Source organism: Homo sapiens, chromosome 19 (assembly GCF_000001405.40).
Source record: "Homo sapiens chromosome 19, GRCh38.p14 Primary Assembly".
NCBI classification, from domain to species: domain Eukaryota; kingdom Metazoa; phylum Chordata; class Mammalia; order Primates; family Hominidae; genus Homo; species Homo sapiens.
The window spans coordinates 7,887,170-7,903,834 of record NC_000019.10 but is presented as its reverse complement, the minus strand read 5'-3'; the positions used below and the strand labels follow the sequence as shown (position 1 = coordinate 7,903,834).

The following is a 16,665-nucleotide window of genomic DNA, read 5'->3' as shown; positions in this document are numbered from 1 at the left end:
CGCACCGCGCATGCCCGCGGCGCGCACCCGCCCTTCTCCGCGTGCGAACCTCCGCGCGTGCGTGCTTCGGCTCAGCCCGAAGGATGACGCCACCTAGAGCTCGAGGCAGGCAACGTGCAACCCCCGCCTTCGTCGCCACCACCACCGTAGTGCGCATGCGCCAATTCCCGATCGCTCCTGAGAGAGGCGCTGCGAGGAAACACCATTCTTCTGAGGACGGTGGGCGGGGAAAACGGCGCGCATGCTTAGCGAGGCGAAGCCGTGTTCGCCCGCGTGGCTTTTGCGCATGCGCATTCCTGGAACCTCGTTCCCAAAGCGGCAGTCGATCCCTGGTCTCCACGGCGGTGCAGCCTCAGCCTCCTCGCTTTTCACGGTCGGCTTGGGCGTCCCTTCGGAATGCCTTCCTCACTGATGGTGCTTTATTAGGATTCCTCTTGTGCTTAATTACCTCCTAGCCTCCTGCTGGCAGCGGGGTGCCGCCTCCTCACCGTAATTAGGCTCCGTCGAGAGCCCTTTCCCTTCTTGCCAGCCCCAGCAGGCTCAGAGTTGGCCGAAGCCAGGGGGGAGGGGACGGCCATGGGAACCCAGCGGTGTGACCCCTGCCCTCGGCGACGGGGCCAAGGTCAAGGCCAGAGTTGTTGGCCAGACCCACATAGAACCTCAAGACACCCCCCTTATCTCTCTCGCACCCGGAACGTGAGCCCAGCGCCTGGACGTGGAGAATTCCTATCTGAGGAGGGGCGCTGGGGTTAGGTGCCAGTGCTTGGGCCCCCGGCAGCCTAAACCACTCCTTTAAGTGGTCCGACGGGTGCTGGGGAAATGTCCCATCTGGAACCCAGGGATCCCCCCAAGAGCGGCTTCCCTCTGCTCTTAGATGCGAGAAGGAAGTTCTGATTTTGCGGACACCCGGGAGGTGGCCAGGGCCAGGCAGACTCTGCCAAGTGCCCTTCCAGCTTCTGGTCCAACGAGGGAACACTTTGGGATGAGAGTTACCGGCTTGTCGGAACTCCTCTGGTGACGATTTGTGGGTGGAGCACACACAAGTGTAGAGTTATAGCTGAGGTCTTTACCTTTCCGTCTTCCAGGCAGCCTTCTGTGCCTCTGCTCTGAGAACATGAGACTCATCCTTGATTCTGGCACACGGGTGTTACTTGGTCACATGAAATAAAAGGTTACGGGCATGGTGGTTCACGCCTGTAATCCCAGCACTTTGGGAGGCCGAGGCGGATGGATCACGAAGTCAGGAGAGGACCAGCCTGGCCAAGATGGTGAAACCCCGTGTCTACTAGAAATACGAAAATTAGCCGGGCATGGTGGCAGGCGCCTGTAATTCCAGCTACTTGGGAGGCTGAGGCAGAGAATTGCTTGAACCCAGGAGGCGGAGGTTGCAGTGAGCCAAGATTGCGCCACTGCACTCCAGCCTGGGTGACAGAGCCAGACTCCGTCTCAAAAAAAAAAAAAAGAAAGAAAAACAGGGTCTTGTTCTGTTGCTCAGGCTGGAGTGGAGTGGTGTGATCACAGCTCACTGCAGCCTCAACCTCCTGGGTCCTGGGCTCAAGCAATCCTCCTGCCTCTGCTTGCCTAGTAGCTGGGACCTCAGGCACACATCAGCACACCTGGCCAACTTTTTTTTGTATGTTTTTGTAGAGATGAGATCTCACTATGTTGCCCAGTTTGGTCTCAAGCTCTTGAGCTCAAGCGATCCTCCCACCTGAGCCTCCCAAAGCGCTGGGATTACAAGCATGAGCCACTATGTCTGGCCCTAATGGACGGTGTTAGACAATGACAGGAGTGCACATAAGAGATCAAAACTAGAACTTGCATAATTAGTATTATTTATTAAGCACCCAGAGAACAGTCAAGACCAAAGTCCCTGCTTGTCCTTGGAAAAATGTCACCTCTATAGCAGGTGTCCTAACCCTGCAGTCCACCCACCTTAGGAAGTCCTTGAATAGCTCTCTGGGGGAAATCTATCAGCTGCCTGAAGAGCTTTGTGTGTATTTGTACACCAGCATTTTCCTGAGGAAGGAGGTGCCTGGCTTCATCAGTTTCTCAAAGGGTCTAGGACCTCAAAAGGGATCAGAATCTAGATATTTGGATACCCTATTTTTTTTTTTTTTGGCAGAGGTGGGGTCTCGCTATGTTACCCAGGCTGATCTCGAACTCCTGAGCTCAACCATCCTCCTGCATTGGCCTCTCAAACAGCTGGGATTATAGTCATGAGCCACAGCGCCCGGCCCTGATACCTTTACGTCAGCATTTCCCAACATACTGTCTCAGGGCCACTTACCTGCACCAGAACTACCTGGAATATTTAGGAACAGACTCCTGGCCCCCAACCAAACCTCCTGAGTCAGTGTTTCAGGGGAGGGGACTGGGATATTTTGTTTTGCACCGACTCCCTAGGTGATTTTGATGCTTAGCCAAATGAGAACCATTGTTCGGAGCTAACATATAACACAGCAAACAACTGTGTCTGTGTCCTCTCCTTGGGAGAGAACTCCAGAAGTAAGTTGCTTTGTTGCATGGGGAGGGGGAGTGTTGGAAATCCCACTGGGATGTGTCGTTTCCCCCATATGTGGCACTAATTGAGCTGGAATATCCAGGGAGAGGCAGCAGTTCTAGGGATGGGAGCAAGGCCAGCCAGCCTGCCAGAGACACAGGTGTGGTTTTGGTCGGAGAATGCCATGACTGAGTTAATCCCTCCATACCAGGTTCCACCCCAGCTCCACAACATCCTGTCTGTCTCCCCAGACAAACCAGCCCAGATCCTCCTGGGCCCCAGAAAGATGACACAGCTGCCCCCGCCCCCCCCATCTCCTGGCCTGGACCCACTTGGCTTCCTATCTTGGAAGACAATGGTTGAGATTCCAGGGCAGAAGCATTTTTAAGGCTCTACCTAAAACGGCCCCACCCCAGCTTCATTCCTCCTCCATCTTGTCCCGCACTTCTGCCGGCAGACCCTGGTAAAGCGTGTCTTCCACCAGGAGCCCCGCCTTCTTGAGCCCCCCACAGTTGCCAAGTTCTTCTGGCAGCGCCTCTAAGCGGTTGCCTTTGAGCTCCAGGCGGCTGAGGGCTCTGAGGGCACCCACGTGGGGCGAGAGCTGGCTCAGCTGGTTGTCGCCCAGAAGCAACGTCCGCAGCTTGCGGCAGAAGAAGAGCTCTTCGGGCAGGGCCTCCAGGGCATTGTAGGAGAGGGCCAGGTGCTGTAGGTTCTGCAGGAGGCCCACCTCGGGTGGCAGGGAGTGTAGCCCATTGTGGGACACATCCAGCAGACGGAGGCCTGAGCACAGGCCGAGCTGGGAGGGCAGGGTCTCCAGCTTGTTGTAGCTGAGGTAGAGCTGCTCCAGGCTCCTGAGCTTCCGCACGTGCTCAGGGACGTAGGCGATCTGGTTGTGCCACAGCCTGAGCGTGACCAGCTTCCGGCAGTGCTGGAAGCTGAGGATTTCCTCGATGGAGCGCAGGTGGTTGTCCTTGAGGTCAAGTTCCTGCAGCGCACCCAGGCTGAACACTGCATGGGGGATGCGCTCCAGCCCGCAGGCCACCAGCTCCAGCTCCCGCAATGCCGCCAGCTTCTTGAGGCTGTTCAGGGCAACCAGACGGGCCCCATCGTTGTGCAGGCTGAGCCTCTGCAGGTGGCCAGCAACGTCGGTCACACTGGCTGGCACCTTCCCGGCGTTGCTCCGGAGGGACAACACCTTGAGCTGCTTCAGCTCCCGGAGGCTCTCCAGGGTGGCTGCCCGAGCTAGCTCCTGGGGGAAAAGCCCCTCCAGGTGCAGCTCCTCCAAGCCCCGCAGCCCAAACACCCAAAGCGGCACCTCGCGGAGCTCCTCGCATTTGACGCGCATCACCTTCAGGTGGTCCCGCAGGAAGACCTGCAAGGAGAAGGGTAGCCTGGCGGGCGAGTGGAGCAAGCTGAGCTCCTGCAAGTGCACCAGCTGTGACAGCCCCGGGGGGAAGGTGATATCGCAGATGGCCTCCAGCCTGAGTGACTCCACCTCACTGAGCTCAAAGACGGTGTCGGGCAGACCCGGCAGCATGCAGAGGGCCAGCTCCAGCCGGCCCGCGGCATTGCGCTGCAGCTTCTGTCGAAGCTTCTCGGGCGTCCACTCGTGGTTGAGATTGAGCTGCTTTAGACGGCTTTCGCTGACCTCGGACAGGAAGACGGCGAAGCGCTTGGAGTAGAGGGAGTCGTACTGATCGATGAGGTGCAGCATGAAGGCGAAGTCATTCTTGACGTCAGGAATGTCCCCCATGCCAGTCTCCTCCCGCACGGAACGGAAGGAGTACTCCTTGAGGGGCCGGTGGAAGAGCCAGTAGAGCGTGTAGATGCAGGTAAGTCCGTAGATGCACACAAAGGAGATGTAACAGAAGGCCAGCTTGGAGAAGAGGTGGGCCTTGGTGTGGTTGCAGCAGAAGCTGGCGTAGCCCGTGACCTCTGACGTCTCCACCCTACAGGCCACCAGGAAACTGATCTTCTCCACATAGACCAGGTTGTAGACCAGGATGGCCAGGAACTTACACACTTTCAGCACCGTCTGTCGGATGTACATGGTGTACAGGATGTCGCCCTCTTCCACGTGCATGCGGAACTTCTTCACCTTCTCAAACAGGGCTTTGGCTTGCTCACCCTCCTTCTTGTCCAACAGGGTGACAACTGGAGGCTCGGTCACCACCTTCTCCGGTTCCGCCAGCACTTTCTCCTTCTCACCCTCCCCTGCCTTCCCCGGCCCGGTCCCTGCCATGGCCACTATGGTGGCCGCAGCCCGTTCGGTGGCTGCTGGGCCCTTCTGGTTCTCCCCGGAGACCTCGGATAGGGCCCTGGTGGTCCATGGAGAGTCGAAACACTTGCCCAGGATGGAGATGAAGTGTTCAATCTTGGAGCTGGTGCCAGGGAACTTGAACCAGAAACTGGTGCAGACCATGAAGATGAGTGTGTGAATGACCACGAGGTAAGGGAAGTACTTGGCATACCAGTGCAGGGCCGTCTCATAACACAGCTGGTTAATAAAGCTGTATTGCTGCAGGTCCAAATTGTTCTTAAGGCCTTTAACCTCCTGCAGGGCCCCAATCTGCTCAGGGATCCCCCGAGGCAGCAATTGCTGGCACGGGGCCTCTGATAAGTTCTCCTGGAGCTCATGATTGGGTAGACAGATGATCTTGTCCTGTGTCACCTGAGGAGCAAAAGAGAATGAGGGCTGTAATCCTAGCACTTTGGGAGGCCAAGGCGAGTGGATCACTTTAGGTCAGGAGTTCGAGACCAGCCTGGCCAACGTGGTGAAACCCTGTCTCTACTAAAAATACAAAATTAGCCGGGCATGGTGGTGGGCACCTGTAATCCCAGCTACTCGGGAGGCTGAGGCAGGAGAATCGCTTGAACCCGGAAGATGGAGGTTGCAGTGAGCCGAGATCGCGCCATTGTACTCCAGCCTGGGTGACAGAGTGAGCCTCTGTCTCAAAAATAAATTAATTTAAAAAAGAGAGAAAATGAGGGGGATGGGGAAAAAGCAGGCTGAAGGTGGGAGACCCCCCGCACCCCCCATCTCTGACTGTTGCCAGCCAGCTGTGATTTTGGAAGAGTTTTGCTAAACCTCTAAGCACTGTTTTTTTTTTTTTTGGTTTTTTTTTTTGAGACAAGAGTCTCGCTCTGTCAGGCTGTGTGCAGTGGTGCAATCTTGGCTCATTGCAACCTTCCCCTCCTGGTTCAAGCAATTCTCCTGCCTCAGCCTGCTGAGTAGCCGGGGCTACAAGCACGCACTACCACGCCTAGCTAATTTTTGTATTTTTAGTAGAGATGGGGTTTCACCATGTTGGCCAGGCTGCTCTCGAACTCCTGGCCTCAAGTGATCCCCTGCCTCAGCTTCCCAAAGTGCTGGGATTACAGGAATGAGCCACCACAACTGACAAAGCACTGGTCTTTGTCTGAGAAAAGGAGCTGGGTTGAATCGTGTCCCCACAAAAGATGTTGAAGTCCCAACTCCGAATCCTTAGAATGTGGTATTATTTGAGCTGGGTCAGGCGGCTCCTGTTTGGTAATAGGGTCTTTGCAGAGGTAGTCAAGACAAAGCCAGTAGGGTGGGCCCAGTATGACTGCGCCTTAGAGAAAGGGGAAACATAGACACAGAGACAGACACAAAGACAGAAGATGACGTGAGGATACAGGGAGAGGCTGGGTGCGGTGGCTCAGGCTTGTAATCCCAGTGATTTGGGAGGCAGTGGGAGGGGGGGCCAAGCGGGGGTGGTAGAGGAGGATTGCTTGAGGCCAGGAGTACAAGGTTACAGTGAGCTATTATTGCGCCACTGCACTCCAGCCTAGGTGACAGAGCTTGCTTAAAAAAAAAAAAAAAAAACTGTCTCGACCAGGCGCAGTGGCTCATGCCTGTAATCCCAGCACTTTGGGAGACAGAGGCAGGCTGATCCTGATCACGAGGTCAGGAGTTCAAGACCAGCCTGGCCAACATACTGAAACCACGTCTCTACTAAAAATACAAAAAAATATTAGCCGGGCGTGGTGGCACACGCCTGTAATCCCAGCTACTTGGGAGGCTAAGCCAGGAGAATTGTTGGAACCCGGGAGGCGGAGGTTGCAGTGAGCCGAGATCGCACCACTGCATGCCAGCCTGGGCGACAGAGGGAGACTCTGTCTAAAAAAAAAAGAAAAAGAAAAAGAAAAATACTGGGAGAATGTCATCTACAAGCCAAGGAACTCTTGGAGCTGCAAAAATCTAGGAGGGAAGCTTGGAAGATTCTCCCTCACTGACAACTGACGCCTTGATCTCAGACTTCTGGCCTCCAGAACCAGACCCAGAAGAGGAAACATTTCTGGTTATTTAAGCCACTCAATCCCTGCTACTTTGTTACAACAGAAGTAACAAACTCATATAGCAACTGCAGTCCTTTCCAGATTCTAGGGATAAAACTGAGCATTGTGAAAATATGGGGCTGGACACAGTGGCTCACACCTGTAATCCCAGCACTTTGGGAGGCCGAGGTGGGAGGATGGCTTGAGGCCCGGAGTCCGAGACAAGCCTGGGCAACATAGCAAGACCCCTGTGTCAACAAGAAATTTAAAAATTAGCTGGACGTGGTGGTGTGTGCCTGTAATCCCAGCTACTCTGGAGGCTGAGGCGGGAAGATCACTTGAGTCCAGGAGTTCAAGGCTGCAGTGAGCTGTGATCATGCCACTGCACTCCAACCTGGATGACAGAATGAGACCGTGTTTCTTTATTTTAATTTTCAATTATTTTATTTTATTTTTTTTAAGATGGAGTCTCGTTCTGTCACCCAGGCTGGAGTGCAGTGGCATGATCTCGGCTCACTGCAACCTCCACCTCCCAGGTTCAAGCAATTTTCCTGCCTCAGCCTTCCAAGTAGCTGGGATTACAGGTGTCCACCACCATGCCTGGCTAATATTTGTGTCTTTAGTAAGGACGGGTTTTCACCGTGTTGGCCAGGCTGGTCTCAAACTTCTGGCCTTAAGTGATACTCCCACCTTGGCCTCCCAAAGTGCTGGGATTACAGGTGTGAGCCACCATGCCCGGCCCCTGTCTCTTTTTAGCCAAAAAGAAAAAAAAAAAAAAGAAAAAAAAAGAAAGGGTCAGGTGCAGTGCCTCAGGCCTGTAATCCCAACACTTTGGGAGGCCCAGGCAGGCAGGTCACTTGAGGTCAGGAGTTCGAGACCAGCCTGGCTAACATGGTGAAACCCCATCTCTACTAAAAAACTACCAAAATTAGCCAGGCGTGGTGGTGGGCGCCTGTAATCCCAGCTACTCAGGAGGCTGAGGCAGGAGAACCGCTTGTACCCGGGAGGCAGATGTTGCAGGGAGCTGAGATCATGCCACTGTACTCTAGCCTGGGTGACAGAGTGAGACTCCGTCTCAAAAAAGAAAAAAAGATATGGAATGGCATAGCAATGTGGGGACTCCGGTGCTCCTGGCTATGGAGGTAAGGAAGATAAGGGGTCTGGATTGGCCTTTGAGTGGGGCTCTGTCTTCAGTTTCCTCTCTTTCTTGGGTGATGAGAAGGCTTCCCGACTTCCCCAGACACCTGCCCCGCCCCTCTGGTCACACCCCCTTGCCAGGGGAGGGCCTCACCTGGAGGGTGCAGCCAAAGACCCCAATCATGAGCATGGCCACGGTGAGGTACTCGGCCAGCACGTCCCACCAGGGTTTGAGCACCTTGAACGCAGGCTGCTGTTCCGTGAACTGCTTGAACTCGGCCACTGGGATCATGCTGCCTGTGGGACGGGACGAGACGGGGGGTGTAGAGAGAGACCCTCAGGATGGGAGGCTCTGCAGGGGGTCCTCCGAGGAGCCGGACACAGGCAGGCCTGTGACCCTCCCTGCCCAAACTTGTCCAAACCACCAAAGTGTGTGCCCCCACTTCCCTCTTAGCCTGGCCTTAGTCACCCTCCATGCAGACGTCACCACCTGCCCAGAACCAAGCGGCCACTGTTCCCCTCTGGGCACCCCTGCACCTGATCTGACTTGTCTGACCTCGAAGAGCACATGAGGGATAGTCCACAGGGCCGCCGCCCTCCAGCCTCCTCGGGTGGCCCCCTCCCCAAAACGAGGCATCCCTCTCCCACCCCTGACACCAAGGCCTGAAAACATCTGCCTCGATGCTCCCTGACTGCAGACACTCAGCGTCTGGGCCAGCCCCGGCTCCCACCGCCACCAGGCCTGAAAGCGTTCCAAGGCTCAGGACTTCCGGGGCGTAGGCCCCTCCACCCCCTCCAGGGGCACTCTGGGCACCACCTCCAACCTCTAACCGGAAAAGCCGGCTGGAGCCTGGCTCTGGTTACTAGGGCCCCAGGGGCAGGGACTGCCAAGCTGAAGGCTAGTCAGCCCTGGGGGTAGGAGGTGACCAGGACACCTGAGTTTCTAAAGGGGCTACAGCCCAGAATCACAGGCAGAAACCAGAGACCTGGGCTCTGAGAGGGGGCAATGGGGTGTCCGGATGTCCGAGGAGGAAGGAGGATTTGCAAATGGAAAGTTGTCAGGTGACATCTGCGACCAGGCTAGGGCTGTGCTGTCAGGCTCCTGGCCGGCCCACTCTGTCTGTTCCCAGGGTCTCCTTTTAGACCAAGCTATCACTATTACAGATACAGACAGGCCAGCCACAAATCACACTGGGGCGTGGGGCATGAGCTGAGATGTCACTCTCCCAGGCAGGTACCTACTTCCCCAGAGGCTGGAGGTGGAACAAGGAAGGTGGGGAACCTTAGACCAGCCCACTTCTGCCAACATCCAAGTTCCCCCACTCCTGGGAGCCTCCTGTCCTTGTCCAGATAGATAATCTGTAACTGGGGCTGGGCGCGGTGGCTCATGCCTGTAATCCCAGCACTATGGGAAGCTGAGGCAGGTGGATCACTTGAGGTTAGGAGTTCGAGACCAGTGAGGCCAACATGGTGAAACCCAGAGTCTACTAAAAATACACAAAAAATTAACCAGGTGTGGTGACACACACCTGTAATCCTAGCTACTCTGGAGGCTGAGGTGGGAGGGTCTTGATCCGGGGAGGCAGAGGTGGCAGTGAAGTGAGACCGTGCCACTGCACTCCAGCCTGGGTGACAGAGTGAGACTCCATCTCAAACAAACAAAACAAAAGACAAAGATAATCTGTAACGGGACAGGAGTTGGGCCAAGAAGGAGGGCATCTGCCCATCAGGGAGTTATCTCTGGCTCCCCATCCATCTCCCCAGGAAGAATCTAGGGAAACCCTGGTCCCCTGACCCACGACTCAGCCAATGGTTCTGACATGTCTGAGCCTCCCTTTTCAGTTTGTGTCCCCCCCATATTTTGGGGTGACTCCTGGGTTAAAACAAGGTAGGATACAGGCTCCACCCACCAAGCTAAAGGCCAAGCAGTCCCGAAAGACCACATCCTTTTACCCCCTCAGAGGCCCCCACTTCAGTCTGGGGAATCAGATAGGCAGGCAAGGGTGTGGGTACAGCCTGCCCACACGGGGACTCACCATGCAAGTGTAAAATGTCATAGGTTGGGCCAGGCGCAGTGGCTCACGTCTGTAATCCCAGCACTTTGGGAGGCCAAGGCAGGCGGATCACAAGGTCAGGAGTTCGAAACCAGCCTGGCCAGCATGGTGAAACCCCGTCTCTTCTAAAAATACAAAAATTAGCCGGGCATGGTGGCATGAACCTGTAGTCCCAGCTAGGCAGGAGAATCGCTTGAACCCGGGAAGCGGAGGTTGTGGTGAGCTGAGATCGTGCCACTGCAATCTAGCCTGGGAGACGGAGCGAGACTCTGTCTCGGGAAAAAAAAAAAAAAAAGTCATGGGTTCCCTGACTCAGGCAGTGACTCACCCAGACCCAGATCCATGCAAGGGGGTGCCCAGAGCACAGGGTCCTTCGCACCATGGCCTGGCCCTCATGCTCATTCACACTCCCTGCCCTAAGCAAAAAGCCAAGTATACTTTGGGAGGCCGAGGTGGGCAGATCACTTGAGGTTAGGAGTTCGAGACCAGCCTGGCCAACATGGTGAAACTCCGTCTCTATTAAAAATACAAAAATTAGCCAGGTGCGGTGGCTCACGCCTGTAATCCCAGCACTTTGGGAGGCCGAGGCAGGCAAATCACAAGGTCAGGAGTTAGGGACCAGCCTGGCCAACGTGATGAAACCCCGTCTCTACTAAAAATACAAAAAATTAGCTGGGCGTGGTGGCAGGTGCCTGTAATCCCAGCTACTAGGGAGGCTGAGGCAGGAGGATCGCTTGAACCTGGGAGGCAGAGGTTGCAGTGAGCTGAGATTGCGCCACTGCACTCTAGCCCAGACAATAGTGCAAGACTCTGTCTCAAAACTAAAACAAAATAAAAATAAAAATACAAAACAGCCAGTCATGGTGGAGGGTGCCTGTAGTCCCGGTTACTCGGGAGGCTGAGGCACGAAAACCCCTTGAACCCGGGAGGCGGAGGTTGCAGTCAGCCAAGATTGCACTACTGCATTCCAGCCTGGGCGACAGAGCAAGACCCTGTCTCTAAAAAAGAGAAGAGAAGAGAAAAGAAACCCGACTACAAATATCCCAGTCTGCCTGGGTCACCAGTATGTAATCTGGTAGAAACATACCAGGATAGCTCAACTGTCCCCAGGGGAAGAATATGTACATTGCACCCACCAAAATGGACGCTTGGGGTCATTTTGGGTCATGCATATTTGTGCACGAGGGTATAAAGTCCAAGTACACACACTGAGCTTCGGAGGGACCCAGCACCAGGGACCCTCACGTCCTGTTTTGGTTCCGGCCATCCATTGAGTCCTCCAAGGATCCTGCAGGGACACTGCTCAGTTGCTTTACCTAAGAATGCTGACCCCAGGCTGGGTGCAGTGGCTCAGGCCTGTAATTCCAGCACTTTGGGAGGCTGAGGCAGGAGGATTGCTTGAGCCCAGGAGTTTGAGCAGCCAGGACAACATAGTCAGACCCCATTTCTACAAAAAAATCTAAAAATTTGGGCCGGGTGCGGTGGCTCACGCCTGTAATCCCAGCACTTTGGGAGGCCGAGGTGGGTGGATCACGAGGTCAGGAGATTGAGACCATCCTGGCTAATGCGGCGAAACCCCGTCTCTACTAAAAATACAAAAAATTAGCCGGGCATAGTGGCAGACGCCTGTAGTCCCAGCTACTTGGGAGGCTGAGGCAGGAGAATGGCGTGAACCTGGGAGGCAGAGCCTGCAGTGAGCCAAGATTGCACAACTGTACTCCAGCCTGGGCGACAGAGCGAGACTCCGTCTCAAAAAAAAAAAAAAAATCTAAAATCTTGCCAGGTGTGGTGGTGCATGCCTGTAGTCCCAGCTACTTGGAAGACTGAGGTGGGAGGATTGCTTGAACCCAGGAGTTAGAGGCTGCAGTGAGCCATGAACCAGCCTGGGCAAGACCCTATCTCAAACACAGCAAGCAAAACACTACTGACTGGGGCCGGGCGCGGTGGCTCTCGCCTGTAATCCCAGCACTTTGGGAGGCCAAGGTAGGCGGATAATTTGAGGTCAGGAGTTCCAGACCAGCCTGGCCAACATGGTGAAACCTCGTCTCTACTAAAAATACAAAAACAATTAGCCAGGCATGGTGGTGGATGCCTGTAATCCCAGCTACTCAGGAGAGTGAGGCAGGAGAATTGCTTAAACTCGGGAGACAGAAGCTGCAGTGAGCCAAGATCTCGCCACTGCACTCCAGCCTGGGCGACAGAGCGAGACTCCGTCTCAAAAAAACAAAACAAAACAAAAACTCCTGACTCTGGAGGCTGCAGAAGAAATCACACAACACACACACACACACACAAACACACACACACACACACACACCCGAGCAGGGACCAACTTCCTGTCCTTGCCACCCTGGTGTAAGCTCCACCAATAGCCATCCCAGGTGCACAATCGCAGACAAGAAGGCAGCAACACTCAGGGGACCGGGGGGCAGCCACAGGGGCTATCATTATCTGTCTCCATGACTCAAACTTGATCCTCACAAACCTGCCATTAAATTTCCACAGACATAAAATAGGCCCCCACTTTGTCTGAGCAGGGCTGGTGGGAAGGTCCAGGAACAGGGGCTCGAAGAATTGGGGCAGAGCCAGGGAAAATAAAACGATGGGACGTATACGCTCAGCTTTCTCCACCAGACACTGAATGCCTCATTTTATCCCAACCCAGGCAGCGTGGATGTCGGAGACTTTGCTTTCCAGACTCAGGGGAGAGAAATAACTTGCTCAAGCTTCTACAGTTCCAAGCGGCATTCGAAGCCTGACCCATCCAACCTCCAGGTCCTGCCTGTAGGATTGCAACTGCTCTGTTCCCTCTTGGGAGACAGCCTCTAATTAAAATGCAGCATCTTGCCAGGCACGGTGGCTCACGCCTGTAATCCCAACACTTTGGGAGGCCAAGGTAGGCAGATCATTTGAGGTCAGGAGTTTGAGACCAGGCTAGCCCAACATGGTAAAACCCCATGTCTACTAAAAATACAAAATTAGCTGGAGTGGTGGTGGGCACCTATAATCCCAGCTAATGGGGAAGCTGAAGCAGGAGAATCTCTTTTTTTTTTGAGACAGAGTCTCACTCTGTCGCCCAGGCTGGAGTGCAGTGGTGTGATCTCGGCTCACTGCAAGCTCCGCCTCCCGGGTTCACACCATTCTCCTGCTTCAGCCTCCCGAGTAGCTGGGACTACAGGCGCCCGCCACCTCGCCCGGCTAATTTTTTGTAATTTTAGTAGAGACGGGGTTTCACTGTATTAGCCAGGATGGTCTCAATCTCCTGATCTCATGATCTGCCTGCCTCGGCCTCCCAAAGAGCTGGGATTACAGGCGTGCGCCACCGTGCCCGGCTGAAGCAGGAGAATCTCTTGAACCCAGGAGGTGGAAGTTGCAGTGAGCCGTGATTGCGCCACTGCAATCCAGCCTGGGCAACAGAGCAAGACTCTATCTCAAAAAACAAACAACAACAAAAAAACCACAGCATCTTTGCCAAAAGCACCTAAGAGCGGTGTTGCATTGTGGCAGGCCAGGCTGGAAGGCTTTCCAGCCTGAGACCATGTGGCTCCCACCAGCCCTGGCTCCATCCACCCATGCCTCACCCCTCCTCCCTCCCAGGTCCTCCTCAAGCCACTTGCCTCCAAAAAATGTGGTGATGAGTTCCTGCTGGGGGAAGGGTGGGAGAGTGAGACCCTCCACACCCACAGCCCATGCTAAGAGGCAGGGAAGAAGCAAGAAACATCCAGCAGTTTTCAGCCCTAAGAGGGGTTTTGTAGAAAACAAGGCCCAACCTTTTTTTTTTTTTAGACATAGAGTCCTGACGGACACAGTGGATCACGCCTGTAATCCCAGCACTTTGAGAGGTTGAGGCAGGTGGATCACGAGGTCAAGAGATCAAGACCATCCTGGCCAACATGATGAAACCCCATCTCTAAAAATACAAAGATTAGCTGGGTATGGTGCCACATGCTTGTAGTCCCAGCTACTCAGGAGGCTGAGGCAGGAGAATCGCTTGAACCTGGGAGGTGGAGGTTGCCGTGAGCCAAGATCGTGCCACTGCGCTCCGGCCTGGCAACAGAGCAAGACTCTATCTTGAAAAAAAAAAAAAGAGAGAGAGAGAGAGATAGAGTCTTGCTCTGTCACCCAGGCTGGAGTTCAGTGGCACGATCATAGCTCATAGTAGTCTCGAACTCCTGGGCTCAAGTGATCCTCCTGCCTCAGCCTCCCCAGTAGCTGGGACCACAGGTGCGTGCTACCATGCCCAGCCAACTTTTAGATTTTTTGTAGAGATGGAGTCTCGCTATGTTGCCCAGGCTGGTCTTGAACTTCTGAGTCCAAGCAATCCTCCCACCTCAGCCTCCCAAAGTGCTGGGATTACAGGTGTGAGCCACTGTGCCTGGCCTCAATCTTTTTTTTTTTTTGAGATGGAGTGTCGCTCTGTTGCCCAGGCTGGAGTGCAGTGGCCCAATCTCAACTCACTGCAACCTCCACCTCTTGGGTCCGAGCAGTACTCAAGCCTCAGCCTCCCCAGTAGCTGGGACTACAGGGACACGCCACTAATTTTTGTATTTTTAGTAGAGATGGGGTTTCACCGTGTTAGCCAGGCTGGTCTCAAACACCTGACCTCAGGTGACCTGCCCACCTCGGCCTCCCAAAGTGCTGGGATTATAGACGTAAGGCACGGTGTCCGGCTGAGCCTCAACCATTTATGCAAGGGAGAAACTGAGGGTCTAGGGTGGGGGAGGGTGGCATCTTTGTAGCCCGTCCTGGGTCAGGCCCCAGGCCTGCGGATTCCCAGCCGAGTGGTTTTCCAAGCCGCCTCTGCCAGCAGACTTGAAGATCTGGGACATGTGTAAGTTCAAGAGCACCAGAGGTCAGGCTTGGTTGAACCCACCCCAAGTGGTAGGTTCTGGAGCTCTGAGAGTCTCCCGGGGATGAGTTGTCAATGTCTTCCCAGATGCCAAGGGGAGGGGAAAGTGGTTGAGACCCCCAAAGTCAAGTTTATCTTCAGCCTGTTTATCTTCACTCTGAGACTTGGCCGCGTCTGCCTGGCTCCCAGGACGGGCACCTCGTGGGCCAGGTTTCCCTTTGCACCGGCCGGCACCCCCACCCCAGCTCCTGGTGTGTCGGGACGGCCTGCCCCGGCCACAGGGCCGGCGCACCTGGAGCGGCTCTGCCCCTTGTCCAGACCCGGGGACTCCCAGCCCGACCCCCACCCTGCCACCTCGTGGGGTGTCCAGAGGCAAAGAGCCACCTACTCACCGTTCCGGGAGGGACGCTGGGCCCAACTCCTGGGTCTCTGGGAGCGGAGCTGCCGCGACTCCCGCAGAGTTCCCGGGCGGGCCGCGAGGGTGAGTCAGGGCAGGCGGGGACAGGAGACCCGGAGCCGCCCCGCCCCGCCCCCGGACGACTCGGCCCCGCCTCGCCGCAGGCGCGCCCAGGTCGACCCTACTCCAGGCGCCGCGCGATCAGCAGGGTTGGGGGAAGACAGCCGTCTTAGGCTGCTTTGCCCTGGTGGGCTCGGGGCTGGCGGGAGATGCAGGGGTCTTAGAACTTTGCAACTTTGCAGTCTGGCTGGACCCTGGCAGCTGGGGAAACTGAGGGAGCTGGGGACGCTGAACTCCCAAAGCCATTCTACGGCCACCTTTCTGGGAACCAGGTCTTACGGACCCTGTCGAGAAAATGTGGAGGCCGGGCTCTGTGACTCACGCCTGTAATCCAACACTTTGGGAGGCCGAGGCAGGAGGATACCTTGGGCCTAGGAGTTTGAAACCAGCCTGAGCAATATAGTGGGACCACATCTCTACAAAAAATTTTAAAACCTACAAAAACAAAATTTTAAAAATTAGCCAGGTGTGGTGGTGTGTGCCTGTAGTCCCAGCTACTCTGGAGGCCGAGGTGGAAGGATCACCTGAATCTGGGAAGTTGAGAGGCTGCAGCGAGCTACGATCATGCCACTGCACTCCAGCCTGGGCCACCAAGAAGGACCCTGTCTCCAAAAGAAAAAAAAGAAAAAGAGGAAGTGCGGAAGGGCTCCTTCTAACCCCGCAAGGCCCAGTCACCTGGCCTTAAAGCCCAGCCAAGGCACAGGTGACTGCAGTTTTCAGGTGCTGGGAGTGGAGTTGCGGGAGGAGAGGACGGGGAGGGGACGGCTTCTCCCTTCAAGCTCTGGCCATGGGCGGGAACTGGGCTGAACCAACGGAAGTTGAGTAGAGTGGGGATGCCCTCCTGTCTGTCCCTGCCCAACACTGTGGTCTGCCCTCCAGGTGGGGAGTGGGGCACAAGCAGCTCCGAAGTCCTGGGGGGCCCAGCTTCTCTGCCTCCCCACCCCCACCCTGGCCGCCCCACTTGGGAGGCCTGAGCTGGGTCTTAGATGAGCAAATCTGTGGAGGTGGACCTTGATCTGTTCTCCGTCTGAAAAACCTTGGAGGCCGGGTGCAGTGGCTCACGCCTGTAATCCCAGCTCTTTGGGAGGCTGAGGCGGGTGGATCACGAGGTCAGGAGATCGAGACCATCGTGGCTAACACAGTGAAACACAGTCTCTACAAAAATACAAAAAAATTAGCAGGGCGTGGTGGCGGGCGCCTGTAGTCCCAGCTACTCAGGAGGCTGAGGCAGGAGAATGGCGTGAACCCAGGAGGCAGAGCTTGCAGTGAGCCGAGATTGCGCCACTGCACTCCAGCCTGGGCGAAG

General features: G+C 55.4%; 1 protein-coding gene and 1 long non-coding RNA gene across 6 annotated transcripts, besides 4 other annotated features; one reads left to right on the top strand and one right to left on the bottom strand.

Annotated features, from left to right (window-relative positions):
* Nucleotides 104–681: an enhancer, noted in NCBI's record as "H3K27ac-H3K4me1 hESC enhancer chr19:7968039-7968616 (GRCh37/hg19 assembly coordinates)". NCBI's record gives its function as "activates a minimal SCP1, AML or CMV promoter by ChIP-STARR-seq in naive H9 embryonic stem cells {active_cell/tissue: H9 hESC(naive)}" and the evidence as "EXISTENCE:reporter gene assay evidence [ECO:0000049][PMID:30033119]".
* On the top strand, nucleotides 321–1,846 carry LOC124904630 (uncharacterized). Its single transcript, XR_007067121.1, has 2 exons — nucleotides 321–414; nucleotides 1,086–1,846. It is a non-coding gene; the product is annotated as an uncharacterized LOC124904630 (long non-coding RNA).
* On the bottom strand, nucleotides 1,819–15,325 carry LRRC8E (leucine rich repeat containing 8 VRAC subunit E). 5 transcript variants are annotated; one of them, XM_047439461.1, is made up of 4 exons: nucleotides 15,235–15,325; nucleotides 9,976–10,262; nucleotides 8,094–8,236; nucleotides 1,819–5,174 (listed from the first exon to the last, which is right to left on the bottom strand). In XM_047439461.1, the coding sequence occupies exons 3-4, from the start codon at nucleotides 8,229–8,231 to the stop codon at nucleotides 2,922–2,924; spliced, it is 2,391 nt and encodes a 796-aa protein (XP_047295417.1). In that variant the 5' UTR covers nucleotides 8,232–8,236; nucleotides 9,976–10,262; nucleotides 15,235–15,325; the 3' UTR covers nucleotides 1,819–2,921. The 5 variants fall into 5 exon arrangements, with proteins under 5 accessions (XP_047295417.1, NP_001255213.1, NP_079337.2 ...); NM_001268284.3 differs by having other exon boundaries at nucleotides 9,976–10,118; NM_025061.6 differs by lacking the exon at nucleotides 9,976–10,262.
* Nucleotides 13,480–13,980: an enhancer, noted in NCBI's record as "H3K4me1 hESC enhancer chr19:7954740-7955240 (GRCh37/hg19 assembly coordinates)". NCBI's record gives its function as "activates a minimal SCP1, AML or CMV promoter by ChIP-STARR-seq in primed H9 embryonic stem cells {active_cell/tissue: H9 hESC(primed)}" and the evidence as "EXISTENCE:reporter gene assay evidence [ECO:0000049][PMID:30033119]".
* Nucleotides 14,870–15,568: an enhancer, noted in NCBI's record as "H3K4me1 hESC enhancer chr19:7953152-7953850 (GRCh37/hg19 assembly coordinates)". NCBI's record gives its function as "activates a minimal SCP1, AML or CMV promoter by ChIP-STARR-seq in primed H9 embryonic stem cells {active_cell/tissue: H9 hESC(primed)}" and the evidence as "EXISTENCE:reporter gene assay evidence [ECO:0000049][PMID:30033119]".
* Nucleotides 15,317–15,446: a silencer, noted in NCBI's record as "silent region_9994". NCBI's record gives its function as "represses an Ori minimal core promoter by ATAC-STARR-seq in GM12878 lymphoblastoid cells {active_cell/tissue: GM12878}" and the evidence as "EXISTENCE:reporter gene assay evidence [ECO:0000049][PMID:35858748]".